At 37.5% G+C, this 22,941-nt stretch overlaps 1 protein-coding gene across 6 annotated transcripts in view; it reads left to right on the forward strand.

Moving 5' to 3' along the window:
- Window positions 1-14,912, forward strand: part of SMAD5 (SMAD family member 5) — a 49,889-nt gene extending 34,977 nt beyond the window's left edge. For all 6 annotated transcript variants that reach the window (XM_024446047.2, XM_024446046.2, NM_001001419.3 and 3 more), the window contains 3 exons: window positions 4,613-4,834; window positions 6,555-6,811; window positions 9,516-14,912. In XM_024446047.2, the coding sequence (XP_024301815.1) occupies window positions 4,613-4,834; window positions 6,555-6,811; window positions 9,516-9,659 (623 nt within the window). In that variant the 3' untranslated portion in view covers window positions 9,660-14,912. The remainder of the gene's footprint in view (window positions 1-4,612; window positions 4,835-6,554; window positions 6,812-9,515) is intronic.

The raw sequence follows: 22,941 nt of genomic DNA on the forward strand, positions 1-22,941 counted from the left end.
CATAGACCATGTGATTACTCTTACATTTTCCTTGGTGTTATTTTATTCCTGCCCCTTTTTTTTTGAGACGGAATCTCGCTCTGCCACCCGGGATTGAATACAGCGGCACAATTCGCTCACAGTTCTCCTGCCTCAGCCTCCGACTAGCTGGGATTATCATACGCATGTGCCACCACACCCGGCTAATTTTTGTATTTTTAATAGAGACGGAGTTTCACCATGTTGGCCAGGTTGGTCTTGAACTCCTGACCTCACATGATCTGCCCACCTTGGCCTCCCAAAGTGCTGGGATTACCGGTGTGAGCCACCGCACCCAGCCATATTCCTGCCTTTTTTGAAAGAGAATTGAGGGTCTGTGATTTCTTTGCTTGATTTCAGCTCCAGGAAGGGTGCTGGGATGTAGAGCTTCCATGTATCTCTTCTACCCTTTGTGTCTATTATGAGTTACTGACTTTTATATTAATGAGTTTGGCCAGTATTTTATATTGTGTATAAACCTTTTTCTGTAGGCAGTTCTGGCATGTAAAATTTAAACATATACCTCTATTTACCCAAAGATAATGTTCATTTAGTTGTTTTGTTTTTTTGTTTTTCTTTATAAATAGACTGCATTTTTTAGTTCAGTTTTTGGTTCACAGCAAAATTAAGTGGAAGGTACAGAAAGTTCTCACATACTCTCTTCTCCCACACAGGCACAGCCTCCTCCATTATCAGCATCTCTCACCAGAGTGGGACATTTGTTATAGTCAGTGAGCTTCCATTGACACATGATTATTATCCAGTGGGGTTCATTCTTGGTTTTGTACATTCTGTGGGTTTTTAACACATGTATCCACCCTTATGATATGATACAGAATCATTTTTTACCTCTTAAAAATTCTCTGTGCTCTGCCTGTTCACCTCTTCTTCCCCACAACCCCTTGCAACCACTGATCTTTTTACTGTCTCTATAGTTTTGCCTTTTGCAAAATGTCATAGTTAGAATCATACAGTATGTAGCTTTTTCAGACTGGCTTCTTTCACTTAGTAATATGCATTTAAGTTTCTCCATGTCTTTTTATGGCTTGATAGCTCATTTCTTTTTAGCATCTCTATTAGGGTTCTCTAGAGGGACAGAACTAATAGGATATATGTAATATATATGAAAGGGAGTTTATTAAGGAGAATTGACTCATGTGATCACAAGGTAAAGTCCCACGATAGGCCATCTGCAAGTTGAGGAACAAGGAAGCCAGGGGTGGATCAGTCCAAGCCCAAAACCTCAAAAGTAGGGAACCTGACAGTGCAGCCTTCAGTCTGTGGCCAAAGGCTCAAGAGCCCCTGGCAAACCACTAGTCTAAGTCCAAGAGTCCAGAAGCTGAAGAATTTGAGTCTGATGTTTGAGGACAGGAAGCATCCAGCACAGGAGAAAGATGAAGGCCGGAAGACTCAGCAAGTCTGCTCTTCCATCTTCTGCCTGCCTGCTTTATCCTAGCCACGCTGGCAGCTGATTAGATGGTGCCTACCCAGATTGAGGGTGGGCCTGCCTCTCCCAGTCCACTGACTCAAATGTTAATCTCCTTTGGCGACACACCCACAGACACACCCAAGAAACAATACTTTGCATCCTTCAATCCAATTAGTTTGACACTCAATACTAACCATCACAGCACCAAATACTATTTCATTGTCTTGGTTGTACCACAGTTTGTTTATCTGTTCACCTGCTGAAGAACCTTTTGGTTGCTTCTAAGTTTGAGCAATTATGAGTAAAGCTGGTATAAACATTCATGTGCAGATTTTTTATGTGGATATAGTTTTCATCTCATTTGAATAAGAAGCATGATTGCCAAATTTTATGGTAGGAGTATGTTTAGGTTTGTAAGAAACGGCCAAAGTGCCTTCTAAAATGGCTGTATCATTTTGCATTCCCAACTATGAATGAGAATTCCTGATGCTCCTCATCCTTACCAACATTTGATGTTGTCATTGTTTTGGATTTTGGCCATTCTAATAGGTGTGTAGTAGTATCTCATAGTTGTTTTAATTTGCAATTCCTTAATGACATAACATGTTGAACATCTTTTCACATGCTTACTTGACCAATCTGTGAGTCTGTGGTGGGCTCCCTACTCATATCTTTTGCCATACTTTAATCAGATTGTTTTTGAGTTCTTTGTATATTTTGAATTATAGTCTTTTATCAGATAGAACTTTTTCAGATTTTTTTTTTCCTAATCTGTGGCTTGTCTCCTCATTCTCTAGACAATGTCTTTCTCAGAGCAAAAGTTTTAAATTTTAATGAAGGCCAGCTTATCAATTATTTCTTCCATGAATTGTACCTAAAAAAAGGCATCATCATACCAGAAGTCATCTAGATTTTCTCCTGTATTATTTTCTAGGAGTTTTATAGTTTTGCATTTTACATTTAGGTCTGTAATCCATCTTGGGTCAATTTTGTGAAGAGTGTAAGGTCTAGTCTAGATTTACTTTTTTGATGTAGCTGTCCAGTTGTTTCCTGTATCATTTTTTGAAAAGATTTTTTTTTCTTCCATTGTATTGTCTTTGCTCCTTTGTCAAATACCAGTTGACTGTATTTACTTGGGTCTATTTCTAAACTCTATTCTGCTCCTTTGATCTGTTTGTCTGTTCTTTTATTTTATCATGATCTTGATTACTGTATCTTTATAGTAAGTCTTAAAGTGAAGTAGTGTCAGTCCTCCGACTTCATTCTTCTCCTTTGATATTGTGTTGGCTATTTTGAGGCTTTTACCTCCCCATATAAAGTACAGAATCATTTTGTCTATATCCAAAAAATAGCTTGCAGGGATTTTGATTGGCATTATTACTCTATAGATTAAGCTGGGAAACACTGCTATCTTGACGATATTGAGTCTTATTCTTGAATGTGCAGTATTTCTCCATTTATTTAGTTCTTTGATTTCTTTCATCAGAGTTTTGTAGTCTTCCTCATAGAGCATGTTCCTATTTTTTTATATTTGTGCCTAAGTATTTAATTTTGGGGATACTAATGTAAATTATAATTTTTTTATTTTAAATTTCATTTGTTTATTGTTGCTGTATAGGAGAGCAATCAACTTTTGCTTATTAACCTTGTATCCTGCAACCTTGCTATAATGCTTACTAGTTCCAGGAATTTTTTGGTCAGTTCTTTCTTATTTTTACATAGACAATCATGTAATTTGCAAACAAAGACAATTTCCTCCTTTCCTATCTGTGTACCTTTTATTTATTTATGGCATTAGCAAGGACTTCCAGTATGATGTTGAAAAGTGGGAGAGGAGGCATCTTTGCTTTGTTTTTGATCTTAGCAGAAAACCTTCTAGTTTCCTACCATTAAGTATGATGTTAGCTGTAGATGTTCCGTATCAAGCTGAGGAAGTTCCCCTCTATTCCTAATTTGCTGAGTCTCACTTAGTTTTTTAGTTTAACTTTTTTGTTTAAAATAATTTTACAGATACTGATTATAGTTAAATCCTTCAGGTCTCTGAAAAAGAATTTTTTGTCTCAAATTTAAACCTGAATTAGTTTATGTTAGAAAAACAATTAAAAATGTGTTGTTGCTGCTATGTTCTGAATTGTGTCGTCCCAAAATTCATGTTTTGAACCAAGGCCTGGGCACCTCCTCACTCCACCCAGAGGGTTGGGAGGGTAGAACATCAAACCAAAGAGGTTTATTCTCCAGCCTTAAGGCCTAATGCAATTTGCTTTGCTAGGTTTTCAGCTTCCTTGACCCATCATCACTCCCTTATTTTTTGTTTTTCCATTTTGGAATGGGAACGTCTATCCTGTGTCTGTCCCACCATAAGCACGTAACTTACCTGGTTTCATAGGTTTACAGCTGGAAAGGAATTTTGCCTCAAGTCTCGTATGTCATATGTAGATGATATTTGGATGATACTGGGTTTACAACATTAGAGTTGATGTGGAAATGAGTTAAGACTTCAGGGGCTGTTGGGATAGAATATATGTGTGTATTTTACATGTAAGAATGATGTGAATTTTGGGTTGCTGGGGTGGAATGCTAATGGACCATATTGAATCTCCCTAAAATTCATATGTTGAAGTCCTAACTACCAGTGTGATGGTATTTGAAGATGGAAATAATTAGGCTTGAGAGTGGGATTGTCATAATGAGATTAGTTCCCTTATAAGAAGAGGAAAAGAAACAGATCTTTCTCTAAGAGCATGCACTGAGGAGGGGCCATATGAGCACACAGTGAGAAAGCAGCTGTCTGCAAGCCAGGAAGCAGGTCCTCACTAGTTACCAAATCTTCTGGCACCTTGATCTTGGACTTCCCAGCCCCCAGACCTGTGAGAAATAAATTTCTGTTGTTTAAGCCACTCAGCCTTACGGTATTTTATAGCCTGAGCAAGCTACGACTATTGCCGATCCTGGTATTTCTATAACTTTTTAAATTGTCATATTCAAGCTGATTTCTAGTGCTTGTTTTCGGATATAGATTCACAGCTAGGAAGGACAGTGAGACTTGTGAAATATCTGAAAATTTTCTTTTTCATGTAATACTTGGGTTGGGTTAAAAGATAAACACATGGACAATCTGAGTTTCTGATATGTATTAAACTCTTTCTGTGTCTGGTTTGTTCACAGATGTTCAGCCTGTTGCCTATGAAGAGCCTAAACATTGGTGTTCAATAGTCTACTATGAATTAAACAATCGTGTTGGAGAAGCTTTTCATGCATCTTCTACTAGTGTGTTAGTAGATGGATTCACAGATCCTTCAAATAACAAAAGTAGATTCTGCTTGGGTTTGTTGTCAAATGTTAATCGTAATTCGACAATTGAAAACACTAGGCGACATATTGGAAAAGGTAATCTTGTCATTTTCCTACATTTAATCGAATTCAATCATTTGTTGTACTTGCCATGAACCATGCATTGTGAAAGGTGCTAGAAACATACAAAGAAGTTTGACACGTGGCCTCTGCCTTAAGTTGCCGATATTGAAGAATGTATTAATCAAATAAAGACATGATGTTCCCTCATTTTTTTGTCCTGCTTAGTGTTTCTTCCCAGTGCTAAGGATCTGAAATCATACTACCACTTTGTTTTTTGAGTGTTACCCTGACTGGAACATAAGCTGTACAGGAACTTGCTTTGTTCACAGCAGTATCCCCAGTAGCTAGAAGAGTGCCTCATTGTAAATACACAACACATATTTATGGAATATTGTGTATGAATGCTGGTGAAGGATTAGAATTTTATAATTAAGGTATTTGTGGAGTATTTTGGGTTGAGATGACTTGTAAGTGTTACCATGATGTGAGAGGAGCGGAATTAGAAATGGGAAATCTAGTGTGAATGATACTCCAGTGGCTTCACCACCACTGCTCCCATCTTTTAAATTTAGGCAATAAGGTTTTATTAATAATTCATCCTGCAGATAGTTGCCATAACAAACCGGGCCCTTTTCATACTGCAATAAAATGTCAAAGTCTCATGCATCAAGTGATCAGGAAGGAAACCCATCCCAGGTAAAGTGTATTGCCTGTTTCTTGAGAAGTTTTGTTTTTACCCCTTGCTGCATTTTGCTTCTTTAACTTGAGGGCATCTTGGTCCAAAATAGGAATAAAAGGTAAATAAATATAATTGTGATAGGATTTCTTATAGAAGTGATTCAAAAAAATCCTGCGGCCAAAAATAAGTTACGAAACAAAGTTTTCATTGTCTTGAGTTTACTGCCAACTTGCCTTAGTTTTTTCAGTGAAGTGCCTCACTTCTAGGCATTGATTTTTTTTTTCTTCCATCACAGTAGAAGTAATTTAAGGGAAATCTATTTTGTGAATTTTGAAATTCTAGAATCAGTTTTTTCTTTTTCCCCAGCATATAGTTCTAGGACCTTTTCTTTCATGGGTTAGTTTTGGGGTGGTGGAGGGATATGTTGGGAAAATACTAGGTGACTAGCTTTAGTTATATAATTTGAATATTTAATGTTAAAACTATTTCCACATATTTATATATTTTTAAAATTTTTATTTTTTTTGCCCTCACATCTTGCAAAGGAACATATATATTTTTAAATATAAAAAAATTTTAAGTAAGATAAATCTGCCATTTCAAAGCTCTTCTTATGACCTGAAATTATATATGTAACTTTGGTTTTTTTTTAGTGTTGCTGTCCTCTTTGTTAGCACAAAGAGTGCAAAAGTCTGTCAAATGACTGTTTATGATAGTTGATAGCACTGAGGATTTATTTGAAAGGACTCATCAAAAGATGATTTGGGGTTTTTTTTTTTTAGCCCTCTCTTTCTCTCATAGAGATGATAAATGATTGTTGGGAAAGGAAAAAGAGAACAACCTAAAAATGGATAACTTAATCTGCTGCCTATTTGAGGCTTCTCTTGTAGATGCAGGCAGACATTAACCTCTTGATTATCTTTGGCAGCAGAAGGCCATCTAGTGGTAACTTCTGTCTAAAGACTGCTGGAAGTTTGCTGTGGATTAATGGGTACTTTTGTTGCACCATACAGTCTATTTGGTTTCATTGTAATGATTCTTTTAGCTGACTCTTGTGATGTTTGTCTTTTTAAGGTGTTCATCTGTACTATGTTGGTGGAGAGGTGTATGCGGAATGCCTCAGTGACAGCAGCATATTTGTACAGAGTAGGAACTGCAACTTTCATCATGGCTTTCATCCCACCACTGTCTGTAAGATTCCCAGCAGCTGCAGCCTCAAAATTTTTAACAATCAGGAGTTTGCTCAGCTTCTGGCTCAATCTGTCAACCATGGGTTTGAGGCAGTATATGAGCTCACCAAAATGTGTACCATTCGGATGAGTTTTGTCAAGGTGAGTTGTGACCTCTAACATAATTTGAGTCACTATAAATGTGTATATTATGACTTTAGGTTATAATTTTTAAAAATTGTTAAATGAAAGTTGATAATTGCTTTTGGCCTGATTTAACAGGTTTTTAAATAAAATTATTGAATTTGTAATTTTAACTACATAATAGATCTAAGATTTCATTTTGTAATCTAGACATTATAAAATGCATGATTGATATTGATTTTGATATTGAATAGGGGCTGAGATTATAAGGAATTTTAGTTAAAAGACTAAATTTCTAGAAAGCATTTGTATTAGTCCATTTTCATGCTGCTAATAGACATACTCAAGACTGGGTAATTTATGAAGAAAAAGAGGTTTAATGAACTCACAGTTCCACGTGGCTGGGGAAGCCTCACAATCATGGCGGAAGGTGAAGGAGGAGCAAAGTCATATCTTACATGGCGGCAGGCAAGAGAGAATGAGAGCCAAATGAAAGGGGAAACCCCTTATAAAACTATCGGATCTTATGAGACTTTATTCACTACTGTGAGAACAGTATGGGGGAAACTGCCCCCATGATTCAGTTATCTCCCACTGGGTCCTTTCCACAACATGTGGGAATTATGGGAGCTACAATTTAAGATGAGATTTGGGTGAGGACACAGCCAAATCATATCAGCATTTAATATTAAAATTGCTATTTGAGTCTCTTAACTTCAACAGTTTTGATTATTATTACTAGATTTCATTAGGGTGACTTGGCAGAATTCTTTAGAATACTAAAATTATTTCATTCCTAGCTAAGTACTGTTATTAAAAGTAATGGCAGAAGCCACAATTACTTTTCCACCAACCTTAATATTAAGGATTTGCAAAGTTCAAAGGAACTTTTCAAGTTTTTCATCTACTCTCTTCACCTGACTGTATTGACATTCCAAAGATTTGTGCTTAAAATCTGAAAAGAATTTTAGTCATGTATTTAAGCAATCTGTACTGTATCTACATATTTAAGCAATCTGTACTGTATCTACATGGTTCTTAAGAATTTAGCACAAGAAGAGCACCTGTCACACGCTGTGCATGGGTTTTTTTCTTTTTGGTATTCAGCCCCAGTCCAGTGTTTTCATGATACTTTGCTGTAGATCTATTGTATACATCAGTTTACTGGTTACCCTGAAGGTATTTCTGCCTTCTTGTACAGTAATGTGACTTTTGCATATTTATTTTAATCTCCACTCCCCAATGTTCTTCACTCCCCTGACCGCCCTCCCTCCCCAACCCAGTTTTCCTGGGCCAAGACTACCATAAGCAGTAAACCAGAGAACCTGATAAATCCAGGAAAATAAAAGTGAAAAATTTCTATTTCAATTTTTATCTGCAGTTTTAGGCTAAAGATTTCAGCTCAGTTCATCCCAGTAATTTCCAACCTTAAAGGATAATCACTATGTGACTGCCACATTAAATTATACATGCATGTATTGATCAATATCTACAATGCCTTATCTGATATTCAAACAACTTGAAAATAAAAAATTTTTCGTTAAAAAAAAAAACCTGGGCCGGGTGAGGTGGCTCACACCTGTAATCCCAGCACTTTGGGAGGCCAAGGCAGGTGGATCACCTGAGATCAGGAGTTCGAGACCAGCCTAGCCAACATGGTGAAACCCTGTCTCTACTAAAAAATACAAAAATTAGCCGGGCATGGTGGTGGGTGCCTGTAATCCCAGCTACTAGGGAGGCTGAGACAGGAGAATTGTTTGAACCTGGGAGGCGGAGGTTGCAGTTAGCCAAGATTGCGCCATTGCATTCCAGCCTGGGCAACAAGAGAGAAACTCTGTCTCACAAAAAAAAAAAAAAAAAAAAAAAAAAGAAACTCTGACATGTGACATGATCTTACATGAGGCTATTTATGATTTTGATTTTGATTTTTTATATATGATTCCTTTATTAGTATTTAAGTGACATCTCTTTACATTTTTTAGTGGTTTCTCCAGGAATTACCACGTTATCTTTAACATACCCCAATCTACCTAGAGTTAATATTGTACTATTTTTAGAATGTAAAATATGAAAACCTTGCTGTTGAAGAGTTTTAATTACCTTCTTTTATTCTTTGTGCTATTCATAAATTTTACATCTGCACATTATATCTTATAATACAGTTAAAATTTTTCCTTTAAATAGTCATTAAGTCTTACAAAGAAATTAAGAGAAAATGGTATTTATAAATATTTGCAGGCAGATTCTTTGGGGCTATGTAAATACACTGTTTCTCCTTTATATTTTACCCACAATTTTTGCATTCTTCAATATATCTTGTCTACAGTAATTATTACTGTGGTGTTCTAGTGGTGATTTTCTATTTTGCATTTATCCCATTAAGGGAGAATGTATCTCAGATCAGAAATATTTGTTTTAATTATGAGATACTGTACTGTGTTACCTTTCTAAGATTAAAAAAAATTATGAACTATAACTGGCTCTAAGGGTTTCTTTTAAGGGAATTATATATTATTTTAGAATTCATGAATCTTTAAATAATGTAGCTGTTGTCTTTTAATTTCATGGTGAATACTAAGACTGGTTTTGTGATAGTTATTCTCTTTATGTAACTTCTACATATCTCTACTGTTAAAAGCTATCTTTTTCTTATGGTAAAATTGGTTTAGAGTGGTTGACAGTTTAAAGAGGGATTTGTGATGATATCTGTTCATTTTCATAGGGTTGGGGAGCAGAATATCACCGGCAGGATGTAACCAGCACCCCATGTTGGATTGAGATTCATCTTCATGGGCCTCTTCAGTGGCTGGATAAAGTCCTTACTCAGATGGGCTCCCCTCTGAACCCCATATCTTCTGTTTCATAATGCAGAAGTATTCTTTTCAATTATATTGTTAGTGGACTTGTTTTAATTTTAGAGAAACTTTGAGTACAGATACTGTGAGCTTACATTGAAAACAGATATTACAGCTTATTTTTTTCTACATAATTGTGACCAATACATTTGTATTTTGTGATGAATCTACATTTGTTTGTATTCATGTTCATGTGATTAACTCTTAGAAGTGTTGTAAAAGATGCAGAGTAAGTATTATGCCCCAGTTCAGAAATTTGGCATTGATCTTAAACTGGAACATGCTTTTACTTTATTGCCCTAACAATTTTTTATTAAATTTATTTGAAAATGCATCACATGATGAAAAATTATAGTAGCTTATAAGAGGGCATATACAGTGAAGAGTAAGTTTTCCCTCCTACTCTCGATCTTCCAGAAGCTGTACTTTTACCAGTTTCTTTGTCCCACCAACTTAAAAAAAAAAAGTACAATTCATTGTTTTGCAAAAGTGTATGGTAGGGGCTTAAAAGAAACTATAAAGTTTTATTTGAATGAACACTATGCACTGCTGTAACTGGTAGTGTTCAGTAAAAGCAAAATGATAGTTTTCTAGATGACATAAAATTTACATTTAATACAGATAAGTGTTCTTCAGTGTAATGTGACTTCATGCTATATATCTTTTGTAAGACATTTCCTTTTTTAAAAAAATTTTTGCAAATAACTGATCTCAAGTATATGTCATTTACTCAAAATCTGTCATAAGCATTACTTTATAGCTAGTGACAGTGCATGCACAGCCTTGTTCAACTATGTTTGCTGCTTTTGGACAATGTTGCAAGAACTCTATTTTTGACATGCATTAATCTTTTATTTTGCACTTTTATGGGTGACAGTTTTTAGCATAACCTTTGATAAAATACACTCAAGTGACTTGGACTTAGATGCTTATCCTTACGTCCTTGGTACCTTTTTTGTATTAACAAACACTGCAATTTATAGATTACATTTGTAGGAAGTTATGCTTTTTTCTGGTTTTTGTTTTACTTTCAACCTAGGTTATAAGACTGTTATTCTATAGCTCCAACTTAAGGTGCCTTTTTAATTCCCTACAGTTTTATGGGTGTTATCAGTGCTGGAGAATCATGTAGTTAATCCCATTGCTCTTACAAGTGTCAGCTTACTTGTATCAGCCTCCCTACGCAAGGACCTATGCACTGGAGCCGTAGGAGGCTCTTCAGTTGGGCCCCAAGGATAAGGCTACTGATTTGATACTAAATGAATCAGCAGTGGATGTAGGGATAGCTGATTTTAAAACACTCGGCTGGGCACAGTGGCTCACACCTGTAATCCCAGCACTTTGGGAGGCTGAGGCAGGCAGATCATGATGTCAGGAGTTTGAGACCAGCCTGGCCAATATGGTGAAACCCTGTCTCTACAAAAAATACAAAAATTAGCTGGGCATGGTGGTGCGTGCCTGAAGTCCCAGCTACTCGGGAAGCTGAGGCAGAAGAATCACTTGAACCTGGGAGGCGGAGGTTGTGGTGAGCCGAGATCGCACCACTGCACTCCAGCCTGGGCGACAGAGCGAGACTCTGCCTCAAAAAACAAAACAAAACAAAACACTCACCCATCAACGAATATAGACTCTTCTCTCATTTATCGATGATCCTCTTTTTCCATTTTTTAAGTACTTATGTGGAAGCTAGTCTCCCAAAACACAATCTTTAGAGAGAAAAGACATGAACGAACTCCAAAATATCCATTTAATCAATCATGTTTTTGGCTTTGGATAAAGAACTTTGAACCAGTTTTTTTCTCAGGAGCTGTCAAATGGACACTTAATTATGACATGAGAATGAAGAAATTATTTTGGAAAAAAAAAATGACCTAATTTACCTATCAGTGAAAGCTTTATTTTCTGGTGCCTTTTGAAAGTATATGGAGTCATATCATTCTTCTGTTTAAAATGTTAGTTTGGTTTGACTTTCCACTTTGTCCTTTCTGCTCTTGTGAAGAAAAAAAAAAGCATTTTCGAGGAAAGAATTATGCAATTTCTTTTGTTTTCTGTGTCATTATTTATTGCTTTTTCAATGTGCAGCCAGTGGATGGTTTTAGTTCTTTCAGATGAACTGCCATTTGTGTTTCAGCTCACAGTTCTTTGCTGGGTAAAAGAAATACTTTCTGACAGTCACCTGAGCCTTAAATGTAAGTATTACATGACATGCATTCTGTTTCTTCCAGAGTTCTGTCTGCCACACGAAAGAGAATATTTGCTTACTTGATAGAACTTTGGCATTTTCATCATTCTTTTACTTAACCAGGCTTATGGCATGATCTCTGGAACAAATTTGTAGGAAAAAATTACTCCAATTGAATGACTGATGTATGTAATCAACTTCATTGGGCTGCAGTAAACTAGTGGAAATTAGAGAGTTGTTTTATTGGTGTTTTCTACTGTGAGTTAATTAAAAATTGTTTTTATTTGGGGTCATTATGTCACAGTCTTGAGTTAACAAGATCTTACGTGATTGGCCTTTTCTTTGTTTTCTCTTAGGAGTTGTGTCTCATGAATGACAGTACTAAAGCTATTAACAACTAAGAGTTTGACAGAGAACTATAAGCCTGTTGTATCTCCTAAAAGTTGTCAACTCCCCACCCTTGGACTTTAAATGAAAATTTTATTCAGTCCAGCTATTCTTACAGTCCCTAAGGATTTTCATATATCTATGTATAGGAGATAAAATTTGCTAGTAAGATTTTTAAAAACTGGCTAGTGAAAGGAAAGTACCTCTGAAAGAAACCATTTTAGCAAATTATGGTTATATGTTTTAATTTAATCTACAGAATGTTTTATAGTAAAATTCTAGCACCACTAGAATAATCACATAGCATGTACAATATATTTATGCTGGCTGAAAAGACAGAATCTGGGAATAATAAAATTGCAACCAGTTTGGTAATGCAAACAGCAGAATAGAATGAAATCTCAGTAATGAATTAAAGCAACAAAAAGATATTGATTGGCAAAAAGCAAGATATAAGAGATTCATTTGCTTAACATTTCTACATAATATTTATGGTCTGGTCAGTATTGGTCTGGTCAGTATTGCCTGGCTGACGTGAAATGTAAACTAGTAGGCGTGTTATTGATCTGCTAAAACTAACCCTCTTTTTAAGAGGAGATTTAAGGAAGACGTCAATCAAAATGTCAAATATGTGTGTCAGAATATAAATAATTTTTCACATTGTATTGTTGCTATATAAAAAAAATAATAGAATTGGTTGGGTTTCTGAGGTGAAATCCAGAGTAAGAGTACTAGACAGTTCAACAAGCCACATCTAATGGCACAGATAGAGGATGTAGCTATTTTATACCTTTCATAACATTTGAGAGTAAGATATCCTTCAGGATGTGAAGTGATTATTAAGTACTCATACCTGAAATCTGTTGTCAAGATTAGAACTGGGGTTCATGTTAAAAACCTTCCATATTACCTGAGGGTACCTGTGGGGAACAGTTCCTTCCCCTGTGTGGTAGTATTTTGTTGGAAGAGAATGTTTATACAAAAAATGAAATTCTTCCAACAGCAGAGAAACTCTAAAAAGTTTGATAGTACCTATCAAAGTGCTGTACTTCTGTGATAGAGAACATCTGATGTACCAATTTAGATCTATTTCTTTATACTTTTTCTAATCAATTGCTTAATAGTACTTTGGATGATTATCACCTTTGCCACTTAAAATATATAAATATCCTTTTTACTTCATGAGGAAGGAAGAATTTTTTGATAATTACTGAGTTCAGCCTTTTGTGATGACTTATATTTTGGACTTACATTTTAACTTTAAAGAATGTCAGATCCCTTCTTTGTCTTACTAGTTAAATCCTCACCTAATCTCTTGGGTATGAATATAAATGTGTGTCATCGTTATATTGTTCAGCTAGATGAGCAAGTATCTTAGGGTAGTAGGTAGCCTGGTGGTTTTAGAAGTGTTTGGTGATTTTTATGGAGAGAGTTTTCCTAAGTGGTGGTTTATAGGTGGTATCAGATATTATTAGGGCAGCTTTTTGGGGAGTAATCTCAGGTCTCCCAGAGCAGCAGCATTTTTCTCATTGATATAAGTAAGATTCTTAGGAGCTTTTCTTATCACACAAGATGCCTGAATCGAATGTGAGAATTGAAGGCATTTCTTCTGCATAAACAAAGAATTCTACCTGCTGGACAGAAACCTGGAAAGTTCTTTGGAATTCGCTGAATTACAGTTTAGTATGTCCTGATTACAGAGTGACAATATTTATCAAGCCTTTGTTATATTGGATTATCTTCTCTCTTAAAATACAACTGTATTATAATTGAAATGACAGCCCAAAATTGGATGGTTTACCAAAACCAATGAAAGGGATTTCACACATCAATTTTTATTTCTGTTTTGAAGAGCACATGCTATATAATAATTGCTAGTAGCAACTGCAGTAAAACAGGTGATAAGTTATTTTCTCTGAAAAGATCCAGTCCTAGAGCAGGATTCTTCGATCATTCATGGCAGAGTGAAAAAGGTTTGTATGGTTCTTGTCCAAATAACTCAGTTCTTAAAATTCTTAAAATGATCGTAAACCATTATCCTTTAAAGGTTTATTTGAAGATGCTGTTAAAGTACAGAATTTTGTGTACAGGTAGATTTTTCCGTCCCTCATTAATAGTGCCTTCTTAATTAATACAGACTGGTGTTAGCTATAACAAAACTCCAGTAAGGCCAAAGAATCCCAAGTTCTTTGTGGAAAAAAAAAAAAAATCTTTTAGGGTCAGATTTTCCCTTCTAATATCATTGAAGATGATGTTGCATTGATTTATTCATAAAGTATTTTAACTATAGGAACTCTAGAAGATAATGGTTAGGCAAGTGATTTTTTTTTTAAATATGGTTGGCGTAAGTTGTATTTTGAAATTCACTTATTTTAAAATCGAAGAGGATTGTAATCATGGAAATAGAATGTTTGTATCTACCTGCCCACATTTTCTTAAAAAGATATTTCATATACAGATAATGAAGACCAAGCTAGTGGCTGCACTGTAGGTCTGCTGCTTATTTGTATTTGTTGTGCTTCTGTTTATGTTGTAGAAGCTGAAATTCTAGCAACATGCTTCAATTCTGTTATTTTGATACTTATGAAAATGTATTAGGTTTTACTATATTGTGCTTTTGAAAGCCATAACTCTTAAGAACTTTGTTTTTGCATATTGTTTGCTAATTCTTTACTTTAATAAACCTCAAAACCTGCTTAATGTGTCTTTTTTTGTTTTGGCTCTGGAGTTGGCCTGCCTGCGTTTGAGTCATGGGCCTCATAGCTTAGACAAGTTGCTTAACCACTCTATGCCTCACTTTCCTGACCTGTAAAGGAAAAGTCTACTTCATAGGAAGGATTTGAGGGAAGATTAATTGAAGTGTAATACAAATACAGTATTTAGAACAGTACTTAGAACATAAGAACTCAAATATTAAAATTGTTACTATCTTTTACATTTCCACTAGTTCTTTGATTCAGAATAATTACTTCTTATGTTGCTTGACCTCGGTGTATCAACCTTTGATGATCCACTTTGTGAATTTACAATTTTTTATTTCCTTTTGTCTTCTTTTTTGAAAAAATTTTAAATCACAGACTGACTTTGCATCATTGTCACTGTGTTGCACACTTTTACCAACCTCTGAATTACATATACAAGACATGCAAACTCATTCTAATTAGAAAGGAATGGTGAGCGAGGCACAGTGGCTCAGGCCTGTAATCCCAGCTTTTTGGGAGGCTGAGGCAGGTGGATCACCTAAGGTCAGGAATTCAAGAGAAGCCTGGCCAACATGGTGAAACCCCGTCTCTACTAAAAATCCAAAAATTAGCCGGGTGTGGTGGCGCGTGCCTGTAATCCCAGCTACTTGGGAGGCTGAAGACAGGAGAATCGCTCGAACCCAGGAGGTGGAGGTTGCACTGAGCCAAGATCATGCCATTGTACTGCAGCCTGGGCAACAAGCGATACTGCGTCTCAAAAAAAAAAAAAAAAAAAAAAAAGGAATGGTGAAAAATCATGTGCCCTTGCCAGAAATGTAGAAAAACCCAAACTACATATTAACCCTAAAGGATAAAGATAAAAGCACTTGTTCTTTTTTTTTTTTTTTTTTTTTTTAATAGATAAAAAAGACTCTATTCAAGCTTGTCCAGCCTGCACACATGGGCTGCATGTGGTCCAGGACAGCTTTGAATACGGCCCAACACAAATTGGTAAATTTTCTTAAAGCATTATGAGATTGTTTTGCGAGTTTTTTTTCTTTTTTTTAGCTCATCAGCTATCGTTAGTGTTAGTGTGTTTTATGTGTGGCCCAAGATAATTATACTTCACTGTGGCCTAGGGAAGCCAAAAGATTGGACATTCCTACCAATTTCTGAGAATCAGTTCCTTCCTATGTCTTTTTACTTAAAAGGCATTTTGTAAGGTATTTTGTAGCAACATCACTGGTTGTTTTAGAAGTGTATTTTTTAAAAAAGCACACTTGTCCTAGCGGAAGAAGGTTCAGTGAGCACTAAGAGGATGTTGGCTTCTCTTGGGTTTAAGATAATTAGTTTTCAGGTTGCTGTAGCCAAAACAGTTCAGGTGATGAGGGGTTGGGACAGTGGCTAATACTATTTTGTATTACAGCAGTTTTGATGCAGCTATCGTTTTATAAACATTTTTAAGATTGTCAGTAGACTGCAGCAATGCTTATAAGGAAGATTTATTTAGAGCTCTGTAGTATTTATGATTGAAAGAAGGAAGCATTTTTAAAACACCCTTCCCATTTAACATTTTAAATATTACTGATTTTTGTCATTGAGTTTGTAAGTCTATCATAAGCTTTGCAAAAACAAAACTTGTTCTTTCTATCTAAATCAGTTTTTCTGTTTAAAAAAAGGGTAATGGGGCTATAGGGAAAATTCAAAGAAGAGCTATGGGCAGCTTGCTTAACCATCTCCATGTTAACGTATGTTGGATGGGAGGTGGGAAGAGGGATTTAGACTGGTGGTGAAGACTTATCCATATTATATCAAATGGGTGTGTGTATAATTCCTAGTGAGAGATTTTCTGAGGCAGTTTATTGATGTTTAGAGATGGATTTTGAAAAGATCCTTATACTTTGTCTTAATCAGTTACCCCTTCCCATCTAATAAACCTCCTTCATTATTTCATTTTAAATAATACTTTCATTTGAGATAAATGCTGAGAATTTTAACAGAAAAGTTAAAACTGAAACCCCCAAACCAGTAGCAAAGGTTTATGAGTGTGCCCTTCTAACCTGTTCTGGTAGTCACTGTACATTGATCCTTGGCTTTCTTTGACAGATACTTTGCTGATTATAGATGGAGCTCTAGCTCTTTTTGAAAGGGTTCTCAGAGAAATTGGTTTGGTTCTAAAGTGTTTCTTGAGTTCTTTGTACCTAAGAAAGCCTTTCATTCTGCATAGCGTTTATCACCATCCAACATATATATTTCTTTACCCTGTTTATTGACTGTCTTACCTCATGGGAATGTAAGATCTGTGAGGACAGACCTGTGTTGCCACTGCTAGAACAGTTCTTGATATGTTATAAGTAAGCATACCAATATTTGTTGAATGAATGAGAGTACTGAAGCAAGAAGTGAATTTTTTAAGTATTAGAATTTACCTTTTAAATAATGTAATATTTACTTCTTAGTTGAATTGCTTCTAGCTCAATGTTTTATTAGCTCTCTTTATGCCTGAGAAGTGGTTTGATGTGGGGTGGGGTATTGTGGGAGCTGGCTAAAGTATAATTGAGAAGAAGGGGAAATTCAGCTAAGAAAGCACTCATATCCTTTCTCTTTGAACTTTTGGACTTTTGCTCCAAAGTTATCAAATTCTTGGAATTGTTGCTTGTAGAACCTGCAAAATTAATAGTCAAGTTAGAGCTTTAACCTGTTAACATTTAATATTTTCCCAAAGAAAGTAGGAAGGGCATAGTTTCCTTGATACGCTTGACAAGAGAAAATAACCCCAAAAAGTGTACTTTTAATTACACAGCTTACAGAAGCTGGGGTGTTACAAATTTTGTAGTGTGATTTTAGTGCCCTGGTTTAGACCCCATAATATCCTTCCCTAACTGTTGTACATAAGGGGCAAGCCTTTCATTGCACTCAGGTGGGAGTGGGAGCAAGGAATACCTTTGAGAGAGAGAACGTATGATAAAACAAATACATGAACCATATTTGTGCTTCAGAATAAAAGATTAATTTTGCTGAAGAGTGTGTGTGGGTGATGTAGGGGGAGAAGTTCAGGAAGAAGAAACAACAGGGTCTAGAGGGTTTTTTAGATTTTGTCCACTTTATAGTTTTGCCAACATTAGTTCAGAAGTGTAATTAACAGTAAACTTTCCCTAATTGCCTTTTGTTTACATAAAATTTTGTGAAATGTGGTTTTCATTAACTTAGAATTGTTTAGACCAAGTTAGTGAATTCAGTGAAGGTGAAGAATGCAGGCACAAACTAGTAATGTGTAACTAGTAAGGCTGGAGAGATGATGTTCATATGAAAAGAAGGTCCTTTCCTTTTATTGTCTGTTTAATAACCTGCTGTAAGCTTACCAATGCCCATTTGCCCTTTCATTGCAGAACACCTGTGTCCAGCTGGATACCACGTTTCCTAGCTTTTTTTCAGCTAGGTATGGTCATGTGACTAAGCTTGGCCAGTAGGATATTAGCAGAAGTGATAGGCACCACTTCTGCATTATATCTGGAAGAGGAATGCACCCCTTGCTCTTTTCCCCTTCTCAGTGGCTGGAATGCAGATATGAAGGCAGGATCTAGCATAGATACCTTGAAGTGGACATGGAAGCCGAGGGATGAGGATGACAGTTGTGCTACCCCTGAAAGAGTACTGTGCTACACCTGAAAGAGTACTGTGAGAAAGAAACTTGCGTGGCGGATGGCTTTGTTATAGCAGTTTGGACTGTAACCTAATTAATACTTACTTGCCAATTGAGTGATTAACACAGGTCCAACTTTATGGTAGGCAGGGCAGTAGGGCTGGAATCATTGTTCTTGTCCTCATGGAAAGTGAAGCTGTAACAGAGTAGTTCCGAGTTCATTAGGTTAATCAGTTTTGGAGGGTGGAGAAGCAGGACCCACAAATGAGGGTTATTTTAAACTATAGACTCTACTTCTGTGTTTCTGAATATTTTTATTTTTTCTGGCCCTGAGCCGTATGAGCTTGTTCATTCATTTGACTAATATTTGAGGGCTTGTTAGATGTCAGGCTGAGGAATAAGAGTGGTTAAAACAAAAATTCTTTCCCTTAAGGATCTTCATTCTGGTTAATGAAGACAGCAAACAAGGTAAATAAAATATATGGTGTGTTTACTAGTAAGTTCCAAAGAGAAAAAAATAAAGCAGGAAAGGAATATACCAGGGTTGGGGAACAAGGTGGAATTATAATTTTAGATATAGTAGCCAGGGAAGGTTTCACTGAGTAAATAATCTTTGATCGAAGTCCAGGAAGATGAGGAAGTTGTTACGTGAAGCAGTGATTTAACCAGTTCTTATTCAAGGCAATTCAGAAGGCATGTGAATGTTACTGCAATGATCTGTGCTTTTCTGCAGAAAATGAATAATTCAAGCAGAAATAGCTAAAGGTACAAACTTCTATTAAATTGCTTGTTCTTTAGTCTCTGCAGGAGATATAGTAATAACTGAAGTGTTACACAGGTGGAGACGGGAAACGTTAGTTGCTAAGAACTTTGGATTACCACCGCTAGGAAACCAGCCACTTGGAAGACCAATCAATAAAGGAGTGTTCAACTCAATATTTCACCTGATACAAGGTTAGTTTAAGGTGGAAAATCAAAGGATATGTGCTCCGATGTAAATACACCTTTTAAATTTACTTTAGCTCTGTTTTCCCTCTGTATTTCATTCAATAAATATTTATTGCCTATTTTCTGTTTAAAACTATGCTAGGCATTGGGAAACAGCAGTGAACAGGACACATGTTGTCCCTGTTCTCTGTTCATACAACTTACATGTTACTAGTGGGAAGAAGCATTGGGCTACTAATTATGCAGTTATTTAGTAGCTGTGATTGGGGAGGCAATATGGGGTCATGAGAGGATTAATCTTACCTGAGGATTTAGGCAAGTCCTTTTTGAGGAAGAAACATTTAACTGGAGACCTGAAGGATGAGAAGGCATCAGCCAGAGGAAGGAGGAGAAACAAACAGCTTAGGCAGAGGTAGGGATTGAAAGGCCACTGGAGTGTAAGAGGAGTGAGAGAAGATGAGGCTGGTGGGACCAGTTGATTCTGGTCCTTATTAGGCTTTTGTGTTTAATCCTGAGAGCAAAGAGAAGCCATTGGTGTATATGCTGGGGCTGGCGGCAGATGTGTTTATTGAGTGAGGAGAGACAAAAATGGAAGTAGGGCTTTGAGTTAGGGTTGTGATGGTGGACATAGACAGGAGTAGATGGAGTAGAGTGGTGCCTAGGGGGTGATGAGTTACATATTGAAGGATGAGGAAGAGTTTAGGGTCAAGAATGACCACCATGCATTTTTTACTTTGGGCAGCCATACGCTGGTGCAGTCTATTCAGATGAAGACTGAAGGAGGATCTAATTTAGACAGATGAGTTTTAGGCTTGTTGAGTTCGAAGTTTCCCATGAGATACCCAAATGGAGGTGTTGAGTGGGCTCAGGGATAGTGTGGAGAGAGTCATCTGAAAAGCAACTGAAGCCATGAGAGCGAATGAGATAGTTTAGGGGGAAGGTGCAAAGTGAGAAAAGACCCAGAATAGCTGTCCTCCAACTCTGGGCATACCTGTTGGGAAGTACAGACCTCTTTACTGTTTCCTGATAGCACATGGCTGAAAAAGGACAGGTCACTGACAAAAAGTAGTTTGTACCACTGCATGCACTTCTGAAATGGCCATCCTGGTTAATAATGATAGCTCACATTCAGGGCATTTACTACATAGCAAACATGAGCTGAACACTTTACTGATAATGTTTCACTCCATATTGAAAATCCTTTGAAGAAGGTATTGTCATCTCTATTCTACAGATGATGAAACGGGCTATCAGAAATACAGAAATAACGATGAAGGCATGGAGTGGATGATCAAGCTCAGGTCATTGGCTCCAGAACTCAGACTCTTGGTCACCACTATGCTACCTCTCCTTGACTCCTAGCATCTGCAGCTACCTCCCCACCGTGATCTCCAGCCTCTCCCCCAACCCCCACCAACAAAAATGCGTTAACCTCAACCCTTCTGGCTGCTCACTGTGGCTGGTTATAGCAGAGGAACCCAAACACCTGTGACATGGGCCCTATTCCTGTTTTTAGCCTGCCATGCCCTGCTCTCCAAAGGTGGTTTCAAGACATCTTGGAACTGGTGGGAGGGCAAAGGGCAGGAGGATGTGTATGCACAGGTCTACACCCAGACAGTCATCTCTCTTAGTTTGGGCTGCTTCCATAGACTGGGTGGCTTAAACAGAAATTTATTTTCTCACAGTTCCGTAAGCTAGAAGTCCTCCAAGATTCGAGTTCCGGCTGAGTCGGTTTCTAGTGAGGGCCCTCTTCCTAGTTTGCAGATAACCATCTTCTCACCGTGTCCTCACATGGCCTTTTCTCCGTGCCTGCGCCTGGCCAGAGTTGAGAGCAATCTGTGGTCCCACAAGGACACTAATCCTATCAGAACAGGGCTCCACCCTTATGATTTCATATAACTTTACTTTCTTACTCTAAATACAGCCACTCTGGGGGTTAGGGCTTCAACATATGAATTTTGGGAAGACATATGCATTCAATTTTAACACCACCTAAATATCCAATCACCATGTTGTAGTCCACTTATTCTAAATATTGTAGAGGACAGATCTGAATTCAGCCACATCCCTGCTTCCCAGAAGAGAGTCTGGGGCTGGGTTCAACATGAGGAAGAACCCATTACCCCTCAGTCTAATACTATCCTAGAAAAGAGAACCAAGTTACTCGGGTTCACAGTGCTGGCAGATAATACCTTTACTGACCCTGTGTGCTTTCTAGATTCCAGGTCTATGCAGGCTCAATTACCCAGAAACTTATTCCCAAAGTGTCTATTCATTTGAAGTGGCCAAGCCTTTGGCTTAAGTGGCTGAGGCCACTGCAACCCTGTAGAGACATCAGAGAGAGCCCAAAAGCCTCCTGGATTACTCTGGCTTGAGCTGATTCTGGCCCAGGAACTACAGGTGAATCCTAAGCCAGTCATCTACTCATGTTCTCCCATGAAGGAACCAGTCCTTGCATTTGTTTGTGGTCACAGGAGACAGTGGGCCGTAGTGAGAGCACATCCTGTTGGTGGGGTCTCCTCGCAGCAGCAGTGCTGCTTCACGCCTATAGCTCAGTTTTACAAATAGCTATAGTTTGGACGCTCATTTTCTGCAAGCATTATTGCTAGCATGTTGTTATTGGTTATAATAACTTTGGTTATACTCTATTATTCAAACTTGTAGAGCTAGTTGATATAATGCCCATTTTGCAGATGAGGAAATAGGCTCAGATAGGTTATTTGCACAAGGCCATACAGCTAGTGAGAGGTGGAGCTGGGATTTAAAGCCAGGCATTTGAACTCCAGAGCTTGTACGTTTGACCACTCTGCATACTACCTTCAGATCTGGCCATCAGGACATGTGGTGGAGAGATACTCTGCCTCTACATTAGTCTCCTACCTGTCACAAGCCCTCAGACCAAGGCTGAAGGGTCCCCCTACCCCCTCAGAAGCCCTCAGACCAAGGCTGAAGGGTCCCCCATTTCAGCAGCATGTGATTTTGTATGCTAGCCAGGGGCCCTCATATTTCTCACATTTATTTCCGTCTAGTCCAAGGTTCATGCAGATTAGCTTGGGTTACCTTTATTATAGGCTGCAGAGGTTTGGCTACCTTTCTGAAGACTAAACTGAAATGCTGTGTGAGGTGATCATAGAATTGGCATCGTTAGGACCTGGTGGGTATTAGTTCTGGAAGGCGTGAAGAATCAAGCCCAGGGAGGCTTTTCTGGTTTCTATGCTTCGTCTCCAGTGCTTCCTGGGATAGAAGCCAGGAGGGAATCTTGGATACTGACTGAGGAGAAGTGGTGGGCTGGGCTGGGCTGGGCTGGGCCTCAGGAGCCCTGGCCAGTCTCTCTTCCTCAACCTCAGTCTGGTCTCAGGAACCAGTTTCAGTGTCAGAACTCATAGAATTGTTGCAGAATTTTGTGCCTGTATGCATTTGGCCAGGGCCAAGAGTCCTTAGTTTTCTAAAGA

The sequence above is a fragment of the Homo sapiens genome, chromosome 5, assembly GCF_000001405.40.
Source record: "Homo sapiens chromosome 5, GRCh38.p14 Primary Assembly".
In the NCBI taxonomy this organism is placed as follows: domain Eukaryota; kingdom Metazoa; phylum Chordata; class Mammalia; order Primates; family Hominidae; genus Homo; species Homo sapiens.